The 13,107-nt window shown below is 48.8% G+C and overlaps 1 long non-coding RNA gene across 1 annotated transcript; it reads left to right on the forward strand.

The window, feature by feature from the left end:
* The first annotated feature begins 577 nt into the window (after positions 1 to 577).
* LOC105373178 (uncharacterized) lies at positions 578 to 5,843 on the forward strand. Its single transcript, XR_949026.2, has 3 exons — positions 578 to 667; positions 5,134 to 5,276; positions 5,543 to 5,843. It is a non-coding gene; the product is annotated as an uncharacterized LOC105373178 (long non-coding RNA).

A 13,107-nucleotide genomic window follows, 5' to 3' on the forward strand; every position in this document is an offset into this window, starting at 1 on the left:
CTGTAGAATAGAATCAGAGCTGTGATATGCTGTCCACGTGGCCCACAGACTCAGGGAGGGTCTGAAACTCTGCCAGGGCCTACTGTGCTCCTTTCAGAGGAGCACCACCCCACCCAAGGCACCCCAGGGTGTCTCAGGAGGGCGGCCCAGGACCACTCCGAATGCACTGAAAGCTGACTGTGTTCAGTAGGGGAGAGGGGCCCCTTCTCTAAATATTTTCTCTCCAGGTTTGGCTGGAGACAGTCACAGCCGGTCAGGGGGCTCAAAGAGGCGCCAGGCCTGCCAAGAACCACCTGAGGATGGCGTTTGTGAGGAAAACCCAGGGAGCAGGGCTGGCCCACTCCCAGGCAGCAAAAGTACGGGGCCACCCTCCCCTTCCTGGGTTGGAGCCAGGGCACCCACTGTGGCTGGAAGGGAGAAAGGGAGTTGTGGGCCCAGGCAGCCCCCAGAAAACAGCCCGCAGCCCTCCAGTCAGCTGCCGCGTGTTTGTTTTCACAGCTGCTCCTCCAGCTCGGCTGTTCCAGTGAGCAAAGGAATCTGTTTGTCTGAGAAAAAGAATGTGGCAGAGAGGCGGGAGGCAGCCCCAGGCAGCCCCGGCAGCCTCCTCAGCTTCGGAGCTCACCAAAACCAGCCAGCCACCTCGGGGAGTCACCCAAGAGCCTAGATGGTAAGGTCACAGACTCAGAGACACCTTCACCTCCCCCGGCACCCTCCAGACAGCCCCGCTCCTCCGTGGACCAGGGCTTTGCCCAGAGACCTTGGGCAGGTGCCAGGCTGGCAGCCTGGGCACACAGGACAGAGACCCACCCGCCTGAGGTATTTTATTTACTTCTTTCTCATTCACAGACAACCCCCCACCACCCACACCACACACCACACACAAACACACACACACACACACACACACACACACACACTCTGAGAAGAAAATCAGTCAGCTGTGTGTATGAGGAAAAAGCTCACAGGACTGAAAGCAAACAAGTCTGCAGCCAGGCCTGCCGTGAGGGTGAAGACGAGCAAGCAGAGGGGCTTTCTGCCTCTCTGCAAGGACGCCCTAGGCCCCCTACCCTCGCCCCAGCCCCCAGGCCAGCCTAGTCCCATCCTAGACAGAAGAGGCAGAGCTGGGTCCAGGTAGGGTGAAGGCATTTGCCAAACCAGAGGACCAGCCACAGCCCCCTCAGGCCTGTCATCCTAGTTCTGGAGTATTCTGAGCCGTCAAGCAGGAGCCCAGGCAGAGCCAGTCCAAAGGGCATTCTCCTTTGGGCGGTTTTGGCCATGGGGAGACCTGGGATCCCAAAAGAAGGACTCTGCACTCTTTTGGCTGGAGTGCAGTGGTGCGATCTCGGCTCACTGCAACCTCCGCCTCCTGGGCTCAAGCAATTTTCCCACCTCAACCTCCCGAGTAGCTGGGACCACAGACGCATACCCATGCCCAACTAATTTTTAGGTGTTTTTTGGCTTTGTGTTTTGTTTTGTTTTGTTTTGTTTGTAGAGACAGGGTTTTGCCCTGTTGCCCAGGCTAGTCTCGAACTCTTGGGCTCAAGTGATCCGCTCTCCTTGGCCTCCCAAAGTGCTGGGATTACAGTTGTGAGCCATTACACTCGGCCACACCAGGCACTCTTGATACCTACTTCCACCCATACCCCTCACCAACCCCCTGCGCTGACCAAGAAGTTGCCCTGTGGGCTGGAACAGGGATGGAAGGGAAGCGAAGCTTCTGCTGAAATTTTCTAGATTACATCAGGCTGCCACCCCTAAGTGATCAGATTTGGTGTGGAAAGTTCCCCACTGCAATTGCAATCTGGCATGTGTTGAATCCCTCAGGTGTGTGGGAGTGGAATATATAATAACTAGTCCTCCCTCAATCTTTCCTAGTCAGATTACTCATCGAGATGCTGTTCAGCACCTCCCCTGGGTCAGCCTCTTCACATACAACACCTCTGAAAGGCTCTAGAAGGTTTGAGAACTTGCCCGAGGTGAGAAAGCAAAAGTGACCAAGAGAAGGTGTCTTCAGCTGGGCTCTCCCAGAAGCAGCCCCTGAAGCAAGGATTTGGGGCCAAGGGATTTATCTGAGGGCCAGGAAGTGGGCAGGGAAGGGAAGCAACTAGGAAAGGAGGTCACCAGACCAGAGCAAGCCACCAGAGTGAGACACTGGAGGCCAACCCCACTGAGCTTCTCAGAGAGACTCCATAAAAGATACCTCAATGTTACCCCACTTGGGGAGTGAGGGGGCTGGGGTATTTATCCTCTAGTTCCCATATATCATTGCCTGGGACATGTTCCCAAGGGCATTGCTGCCAAGCCCTCAGGTGGGGTTCTCATGCCCTCAGAGAACGTTCTGGACTGTTGAGTGTCAAAGGAATTGGGGCAGGCCACCAAGAACATCTGCTGCAGAAACTGACCACCGTTTGATGTGAAACCAGAGTCTTGCTGGGTTCCCTGCACCAGGCTGCCCTTTGCCTGGTACCTGAGACTGGGATGTCCAAAGCCCTCCACCTAGTCTGTGGAGTCAGCCTGCTAGTAGCTATGGTAGTAGGTGTGGGGAAAGGTGATAAGAGTGGGAGGAGGCAGAGGTACAAACAGCCTCCCCGTAGGAACCAGTTTGTACCACTTGAATGGGGTTGGGCTTTGGTGTTGGCCTCCCAATGGGGATTCCCTTGAGACCTGTGCACTGCAACCCTATAGGTAGGTGGGACCCTCTCAGAAGGGCCCCACATCTTGGGAGTGAAGACCTGAATCCAATTCCCAAATTTATCACTGTGCAACATTAGTCAAGGTACAGGTTGTGGATTGTCCCAGTGTCCGTAAAATGAGGTTAGTACTATCTCAATCCTCTAAGGTTTGTTCTAAGAGTTAGAAGTCATACTTCCGACCATAGTGTCCGGTCCAGGGCAGGAGTAGTTGGCCATATTTTTTTTTAATTGAGGTAAAATTTACATATCATAAAATTCACCATTGTAAATACTTTAAAGTGTACAACTCGGTGGCATTAAGTACATTTACAATATTGTGCAACCATCACCACTATCTAATTCCAGAACATTTTTTCACCCCAAAAGAAACCCTATATCCCTTAACCAACCACTCTCTACTCTCCCTTCCCCCAGCCCCTGGCAACCACCAGTCTACTTTCTGTCTCTGCGGATTTTCCCATTCTGGACATTTCATATCAATGGACTCATGACTCATACAATATGTGGCCTTTTGTGCCTGGCTTCTTTCACTCAGCATGATGTTTTCCAGTTCATCTGCGTGGTAGCATGTGTCAGTACCTCATTCCCTCTTATGGCTGAATCATATTCCATTGTATGGATAGGCCACATTTTGCTTAGCATTGATGGACATTAGTTTCCACGTTTTGGCTATTATGAATAGTGCTGCTATGTGTGTTTGTATAAAGTTTTGTTTGGACATATGTTTTCTTTTCTTTTCTTTTCTTTTTTTTTTTTTTTGAGACAGGGCCTCACTCTGTCGCCCAGGCAGGAGTGCAGTGGCATGGTCATGGCTCACTGCAGCCTCGACATCCTGGGCTCAAGTGATCCTCTCACCTCAGCCTCCCAAGTAGCTGTGACTACAGGTGTGTGCCACCACGCCTGGCTATATATATATATATAGCATATATAAAATATATACATAATATATATTAATATCTAATATAATATGTAATATATAACATACATAAATAAATATATAATATATAAATCTATAATATACATAGATATATAAATATATAACATAATATGCGATATATAACATACATACATAAATATAACATATAAACACATAATACACATAAATAAAACATACATAAATATTGTATATAATATACATAAATATATATATACACATATATATTTTTTTTTTAGACGGAGTTTTGCTCTTGTTGCCCAGGTTGGAGTGCTATGGCACAATCTCAGTTCACTGCAACCTCCACCTCCCGGGTTCAAGCGATACTCTTGCCTCAGCCTCCCGAGTAGCTGGGATTACAGGCATGTGCCACCACACCCGGCTAATTTTTTATATTTAGTAGAGACGGATTTCACCATGTTGATCAAGCTGGTCTTGAACTCCTGACCTCAGGTGATCCGCCCACCTCAGCCTCCCAAAGTGCTGGGATTACAGGTGTGAGCCACTGCACCCAGACCAATGTACATAAATATGTATTTTATAATATATATACATACATATATATACATATACATATATATACATATACATATATACATATATATATATATACACATACATATATACATATATATATATACCCATATTCATATATATACACATATACATATATATATATATATACATATACATATACATATATATATTTTAGACAGGGTCTCACTCTGTTGCCCAGGCTGGAGTGCAGTGGCATGATCTCGGCTCACTGCAGCCTCAGCCTCCTGGGCTCAAGCGATGCTCCCTCATCAGCCTCCTGAGTAGCTGGAACTACAGGCGTGCACCACCATGCCTGACTAATTTTTGTATTTTTAGCAGAGACGGGGTTTCCCATGTTGTCCAGGCTGGTCTCGATCTCCAGGCCTCAGGCAACCTGCCTGCCTCAGCCTCCCAAAATGCTGGGATTACAGTTGTGAGCCACCGCGCCTGGCCCCCAACCACATTGTTGTCCTCAGTCTGGTTCTCTTTATAATTTGGTTGGCGTGTGGTTCGATTTTTTTTCCTTTGTATTAGGCATTTTTTATTATCTGTACGGTTAACCTTTATTTTCTATTTTCTGATTCCTTTCATCACGACCAAACTTTACAAGTCCTTCCCTGGGGGCAGAACATGGATTTAAGATGCAATTCTTCAGAGGAAAATATTCCAGCTCCTAAGAAATCACAGAATCCCTCTGATGGGTTAGGAGAGAGGTCGTTTAGTGTCACTGTTAAGAACACGGGCTCTGGAGCCAGACTCTTAGGTTTCTATCCCAGCTCTGTCACATGGGCAAGTCATTTAATTCTCTGTCTCAACTTCCTCACCTGTAAAATGGAGATAATAATAGTCCCCACTTGGTCGGGTTGTTGAGAAGGTTAAATGGTCGCCTAAGTATATCTGAGTTTATCTAAGCTCTTATAGTGAAGCAGGAAGATGAGATGGGTATCTCTCTGCTCTTGCCCAAAGCAGGCTACAGACGGGTTGGTTACTGGTTCTGCTCTAAGGACTGGCCTGCTGGACTCGCTGCGCTTCTCTGCCAGCTGTTCCCTCTTCCGCCTTCTGTTTGCTTTGATCTGAGGTTGACAGACCACCTGGCCTGCTAAACTGGGAAGGTAAGCTCATCCCATCTGCCCGTTCACCTGCCAAGAGTCCATCATTGTGGTCTTTGTGTTTATACGCCGAAGGGGGCAGCTGGGGGTGAAAACAGCCCAGCTTGTTTTGTCACTTGGTCTCCCCTGCCATGACTGTTGCCCTGTAATCCCCCTCCCCCAGGGCGGCTCAGACCCAGGAATTTTAATCAACCTGGAATTAGAAACTTTGTTAACACCAGTGGCTGGAGAAAGGCCTGAGGGGGGATTCAAATGCCTGTGACTTTCAGGTGGGGGAGTCGAGCCCTCAGGAAGCCAGTCTGTGGGGGGTGATGACATCATCTCAGCCACGCAAGCCCTGCAGAGAGAAGAGGGAGTCTCCCAGCTGTGGAGACGAGAAAACAATGATCTCCACGCGCCCCGCAGCCAGAGTGGAGTTCAAGTCCCTCAGCTTAAAATCAAATCTCCCCTTTGTTCCTAACTCTCCCCCACCACCCACAAATGTCCTGCAACTGTCATGGAGCGGCTACTACTAATAATAATCACTGGCCTTGTGTTGGGCTTTGCAAACTGTTCTCACATTCACTGCACCAGTGAATCAAGCAATCCTCTGTGAGGCCAGGGAGACAGGCATTATCGCTCCCATTTTACAGAGGAAGTGACTGAGGCTGCAAAAGATGAACAGATGGGTACAAGCGTGGTCAAGTTGAGTCTCAAGCCAAGGGTTCTATGTCTTAGCCTAAAGTGGTGGTTCTCGAGCTTTAGCACACTGGAATCCCCTGGAGGGCTTGGTTAAAAGAATTTGCTTTTCTAACAAATGTCCAAGTGATGCTGATGCTGTGGGGTGGGGGTCCACGCTCTCAGAATCTGTGGCCTAAAACTTTTGCCACTACATCGTACCTCCTCATTGTGTTAATAAAGAAGCGTTTCCAGCAGCTATGGATGGACAGATTTGGGTCTTTTCCAAAGAATCTGTTAATAGCAGCATATATCTGAAACATAAGGCAGGAGCAGCAGCCTCCAGCTGCTGGGTATTTCCCACAGAAGGGAAGGAGCCTGGACGAGAGAGGCTGGGGTAACCCAGGGTTTTGGCTTGAGCGCATGGGGTTAATTCTGAATCCCTTCCGGGCAGCCCACGTGACTGGGAAGGAGGAAGGTGGAATGATTGCTTATATACAGAACCATCAAGGTCTTGACTGTGTTAAAACCCAATCATTACTTCCAGGTAGTGATGCATTTTAGGCAATGTCTTCTGCTTATGCTCAGCAATGCATGAGTCTCAGAGCGGTGGCCAGAGAAATGGCGAATCGTCGTATATTGAGCGAGTGATAATGGAATCCAGGAGGTGGAAATTACAAGTTGAAAAGTAAAATCAATGCCCTGACTGTGAAATGACTGAATGCCTGGTGAGGAACTGTGTCGAGGTGCACCCCCACTCCCCTTACTCCACACCGACCTTTAAGACGCTCACCAGTTCAGAAGTTCCTTGAGGGCAGGAAGCATATTTTAATCACGGGTAATCATAGCATATCAGGGCAGAAATGGGCCTTAGAGAGCTTCCAGCCCTGGAGTGGCAAATCGGTTTCATTTTGGTGCCAGCTACAATCATTTAGTGGTGGCTGCCTGAAGCGCTGGGCCGAGAAGTGTTCTGCGGGTCTCTGGGCTCCTTGAGGAGTCGGCCATGATCAATTAGCGATGTTTACCATGGCCAGGGGAGTGGCAAGGAGGCAGCACTTTGCTCAGATTACCCAACCCCTATCTAGTCCAACCTGTCCCGCTGACAGATGAGGAAAGAACTGCTAAGCAGCTCTGTGTCCCCACCCACACCCCAGCACATTCTTGTCCCCTAGCAGCCATCCACTTCCAGGGGTCTGTGCATAGTATTCAAGGGTCTATGAACTTGAGTGGGAGAGACATTTACATCTTTGTTTCACTAAACTCTGAGATCAAGCACTTCCTTCCATGATGAATGTAGGCAACAAACTGTGGTAGCAACAGCAGCACCTGTGACTGTCACCAATAGAAACCACAGCTATCTTCCTAGCACATCAGAGCTGCTGCTGCTGTCTCTAAAGATCACTTACACCCCTCGCTAGTCACTGTGGTCTTTGTATGAAAGGATCGTAGTTATTAGACCCAACACTAAATCTTGTTACTTAATGCATTAATAAAGAAACACACATATTACTGATCCCGAAGTTGCTTCTTAATATTTGCATAACTGCATTTCAATAGAGAATTGGTTTCCTCTGTCATACTATTTTATGCAATTAAATTCATCATCCTGAGAAGGGGTCCATAGGCTTCACCAGATGCCAGAGGGGTGCACAGCCCAGAAATGGTTAAAAACCCCTGCCAAGGTTTGCTGATAGCAGTGCAGTGTGCCAGGGCCCCTCCTGGCCTTGGCTTCAGTCAGAGAAGCGGCAGTGGGCAATATGGGCGGTCTTTGGTACCTTGTATTCTTTGCTGTGATTTGGCAGCAGCTGGCAGCTGAGGCAGTAAGAATTGGCTGCTCTCCACTCTGGGGAGACAGCTGACCTCGGGGGCTCCCTGGGCTCAGATGCCCAGACGGTGACAGCTCTGGCCCTGCACCAGGCCTCCCCGGTTTGGCCTTCCACAGCGATGGTCAGTCCAGGTCACAGACACAGCAGCTCCATGCTTGGCTCTCGCCTTCTTCCCTCTCTTATGGCAACCCTTCCCTTCCAGTGTGCTGGGCGTCCCCCAGGAACCTGCAAGACAGACTTGACGGATACTTACTGCTGTGTCTGGGTGGCTGCTTTCAGCTCTGGGGTGGGGGTGGGGGCGGGATGGGGAGGAGAAGAGAGACAACCCAGAGATTTCAGTCCCGGAGCACAGGCCACATGAGCTCCGTTTCCACTTCATTTTAAAAATGCATCTACCCTCCTTCTTTCAGGCATGCAGATACTGAATTATAGGCTATTAGCCCTGGAAGGCACCTTAAAAATTATCTGTTCCACACATTTCCCCTTGCCCCCTGCACACACACACACACCCACCACACCACGCTGTTCACTTTATAAACCAAGGAACAGGCTGAGAGAGAGAACAGGACCTGCCCGTGTGGCACAGACCTGGAACTAGAATTCACGGCTCCAAACCACGAGGCCAGTCCTTTCTCCGACATTGCACAGCCTCATAAATGACGTAAGATTTTGGCATCGTAACCATCTGTCTCAGGGTAAGGACCGGTGAAAAATAAAATTGCAAATTCTTTTCTATTCCAAACCATCACTTGATTAAGTGAGGGGATTGAGGCCACCGCAGCTGCCCACTTCCAGGGGGCTTGGTTCACACTGGTTTCCCTGGAACTGGCACAACCCGACGATCTGTGGCAGAATTCTTGTTTGTTTTTGTTTTCAAAGACTCCTTGAGAAATCCTAGAAGTAGTGTGGGGTAAAGAGTGGAAGCCTCCCATTTTCCATCAGCATCACAGACAATTCCTCAAAGATGCTCCCTGGATTGAGGCTGCTCCTTTGCCCAAGGAATCTCTCCCGCTGCTTTTCACGACAACAAACTGCTTGGGATACAAGGTCCTTCAGTTACTTGGGACAGACAAGGAGCTGGAACAAACATCCCCTACATCTCCATGGCTTAATGGAATGTGCAAAAGGCTTATTTCTTGCCCACTTCACATCCCAACCAGGCATTCCAGCAACAACCTTCCATGGGGTGATTCAGGGACCCAGGCTTCAGGCTTCTTCCATCCCGTGGCAAAGAGCACTACCAACTTCAATATGTGTCTTCCAAAGTCAAAGTAGAACAGAAACAGAAAATGGAGGATCCTGAGTGGAAGATTTTTGGTTCAGGCACATCACTTCTACCTACTTTCCATAAGCTAGAACTCAGTCACATGGCCCTCACCTAACTTCAAGGAAGGTTGGGAAATGCAGTCTAGCAGGGAACCTAGGAAGCTGGAAAAATGGGTGTGGCAGGAACAGAGTAACCCTACCAGTCTTCAGTGTCTTACTATTGTCTTATTAAAAGTTCTTTTGGGCCGGGCACGGTGGCTCACACCTGTAATCCCAGCACTTTGGGAGGCCGAGGCAGGTGGATCACAAGGTCAGTAGTTCGAGACCAGCCTGGCCAACATGGTGAAACCCCATCTCTGCTAAAAATACAAAGAAAAAAAAATTAGCCAGGCATAATGGTGGATGCCTGTAATCCCAGCTACTCGGGAGGCTGAGGCAGGAGAATTGCTTGAACCCGGGAGGCAGAGGTTACAGTGAGCCAAGATCACGCCACTGCACTCCAGCCTGGGCGACAGAGCAAGACTCTGTCTCAAAAAAAGTAAATAAATAAATAAATAAAAATAAGTTCTTTTGGTTGCATGAGACAAACTAGCTTATGTGGGGCAGGAAAATATTGGATGGAGATGACCAAAAAGATGCTGGATACCTCACAGAATCCAAAGGAAAGCTGACCAAGCAGATTCAGGAGGGCCACATGAGGGAGTGGAGACCATCAATCACTTCTCATTCTATAGGACCCCATGGTTTTTGACTGTTTTCCTTTGCCTTCTTCATTCATTCAACAAATATTATTGAGCACCTACCATATGCTAGGCCTGGCTTCACAGCAGTGAACCAAACAGACCAACTCCCAGTGCTCCTGGAGCTGACATTACGCTCAATTCTCTCCCTGCAAACTGTTTTATTTCTTCTTTGTGCCCATGGTCCTGAGGATCGCTTTGTCATTGTGCTGGATATAATGGTGCTGGCACTTCCAGTCCTCCTCTTGCAGGGCTGTGGAGGGGCCATGTTGTCCTGTGGCTTCTCCAATTGCTATTTCTGCCCCTCTCCCCAGCTGGTGACCCCATCTTCTACCTACAGGATGCCTGGACAACTGGTTTATGCAGTCACTTGTGAGAGAGGGGATTCCTGTCCATCATTCAGACCAAGTGCCTTACTTTGGGTTCCCCTAAAAGCAGACCCAGAGACAGGATTTGGGTGTCAGTGGTTTATTTGGAAGTGAGCCCAGGAAGCACCAGTAAGGAAATGAGAAAGTGAGATGGGGAGAGGAGAAAGGCCAATAAAGGGTGAGTGTTTGAGCTGGTTACTACTGTGGGCAACTGGAGCACAATGCTACCGCACACTTCTGAGAGACAGCATGGAACATATTTCTGAATTGACCCACCAAGGGCAAAGAAGCTCACTATTTCTCCATCAACTCTTTGATGGTCATTGCTTGAGGGAGGTTAACTCCCCTACAGCTCCAGGCCTGCCCCACAGGCAGCCAATCACAGAATGCCCTCAAGCAGAAAGACTTAGGAAGCTAAGAGTGGGGCAACTAACAGTTACCGATACCCAGAGACCAAAGCTCAGTTCCTCCAAGTGTGGTCCAGGACCCTCCACTCAGAAATCACTAGTGCATAATGCATGCATAAAGTGCATAATGCAACTCATTATGTACTTCCCCAGCTCCACAGACCTTCGGGTTCAGAGTATCTGAGGAGGGACTGTAGCAGACACTTATTACACACTCTCTACGTGAGTGATGCCCATCAAAGATTGTGACTCAAGAAAAACATCCAGGCTGGGCGCGGTGTCTCATGCCTGTAATCACAGCACTTTAGGAAGCCGAAGCAAGTGGATTGCTTGAGCCTAGGAGTTCGAGACCAACCTGGGCAACATGGTGAAACCCGACCTCTACAAAAAATACAAAAATTCTCTGGGCATGGTGGTGTGTGCCTGTAGTCCCAGCTACTTGGGAGTCAGAGGCAAGAGAATCACGTGAGCCCGGGAAGCGGAGGTTGCAGTGAGCCGAGATCACGCCATTGAGCTCCAGTCAGGGGGACAGGAGTGAAACCCTGTTTCAAACAAAAACAAAAACAAAAACATCCAAATTCCCCACCATGGCCCACAAGACCTTCCTGACCTGGCCCTGCCTATCAATTAGACCCTGTATCCACCTCTTCCTCTCTCCATATTTGGCACCCTCTGATCCAGCCACATTGGCCTTTTTGCTGAGCCCTCCAAGCATGGTCCAGCCTCAAGGCCCTGGCATTGGCTTTTCCCACCATCCTATGCGCCTCTCTCTTCCCCATCTGCCTCACCTTGTCTGGTTCTCTACTCAAAAGCCCTTCCCTGACTACCTTGTCTTAAATGGCCTCCCACACACTCTCCTTGTTCAATTTGACATCTCTCTATGCAAGCTATAGGAGACATTCATTCACTTATTTGTTTGTTGCCTGGCTTCCCCACTAGAGTGGAAGCATCCTGAGGACAGGGACCTTTGCTGCTTTGCTCACCACTCAATCATCTTGCCCAGAACTGAGCTTGGTACATTGTAAGATGCCCAGGAAATATCGGGGGAACAAACAGATTTCTATTAATTCTATGTGGGTGGAATATCTGAGTACCTCCACCAGCTTCACGATTTAACTTTAGGAGTAGTCACCTCCTCATACATGAGGAGGAAATTGGACACAAGGGGCAAGGGTGGTTTTTCCAAGGCAGCAGCCTCAGACTCTAAAAAAGAAAGCCTTTAAAACTACTTCCAACCTCACCTCACACACCCCATCAGCCCCCCAAGAACCCACACCTAACTATCCACTGACCTCTGGGACTCTCAGGTCAGGCCTACGAAGAGAGACAACGTGAAAACCAGGAACCTAGGATCTTGAGCTGGGAAATTGGGCGTGGCGGGGGAGAAGGGGTGGAAGAAGCACACTGATTTAACTCTGTATCCCCAGTCCAAAGCACCCGCAATCAGGAGTCCATAAATTAGAATGAACCCATTCTAAGCCCAGCTCAGCCTCTGTTTCCTCATCTGTAAAATGGGTACAGTACTTACCTGTGAACATTGTTGCAAGAAGTAAGGGAGTTCATTAAATTCACATGGAAATACTTAGCATAGTACTTGGTGCATGGTAAGTGCTCAATAAATGCTATCTTAGGATATCTTAGGATTCTTTTTCCTCTTACTATAGTGCACATGGCACAGGGCCTGGCACAGAGGAAGCCCCGGAAAAGGAAAGGTGGTTTTGACCTGGTCCCTGGGGTCTCTCAGGTTTGGAAGAACCCAACAGTGAAGTGGTAGTTACCACCTAAGATGAGCACAGCGAGAGGGGTGGGGAGACCCTGCCCCAGAACCCCAAGGAAAGAATCGGTGCTAACTTTACTGCTCGGGCCTTTGGGAGGATGAATGCAAGTTGGCCGAGCCACTATTCTGGTATGCTCGCACTGCAGTTCCCAAGGAGAAGGCTTGGAAAGGCTCTTACACAATTGCCATCACCCAGCAGGGCGATTTCTTATATGTACTTCACCAAGTCCCCACTTAGAAACTCTATGGAAAAGGAAGACAATTCTCACAACCTCCATCATTTCCATCTGCAACCTTAGAACTTCATACTCACTCATTTTTATGAACATTGCTCTTTGATCCAGACCCCTCAACAGGAAATTTGGGGCCAAGACATGGCCCAACTTTGTCTTTTATTTGCCCCTTTTCTGGGACCTGCCACTTTGTCGTGGTGGTCAGCTAAAAGTGGGATTTGGCAAGATCTCACAGGGGAAAGATTATGAGATTTCAGTTGCTTCTTGTGTTTCAACCTCCTTTCTGATCTGGGAGGGGGAGAAAAAACCAGCCCACGTGGGCGACTCAGAAAACAAGCCGAGATAAGAGCTTATTGACAGGCTGGGCTAGCAGGCCCTTCATTCACACCGCTTCAAAGACAAACACTTTCCGTTTGTCGATTTGTTTTAGGCCTTGCAGAATCTGCAACTCTGTGGCCTTGACTCTAAAAATAAATCTCCTGCTATAATGACGAGGCTGTTGCAAAGAGGAAGGCATGCAGAGAAGGGAAGACGGAGGGAGGCAAAGCTGAGAGCAGGCG

Source organism: Homo sapiens, chromosome X (assembly GCF_000001405.40).
Source record: "Homo sapiens chromosome X, GRCh38.p14 Primary Assembly".
NCBI lineage: Eukaryota > Metazoa > Chordata > Mammalia > Primates > Hominidae > Homo > Homo sapiens.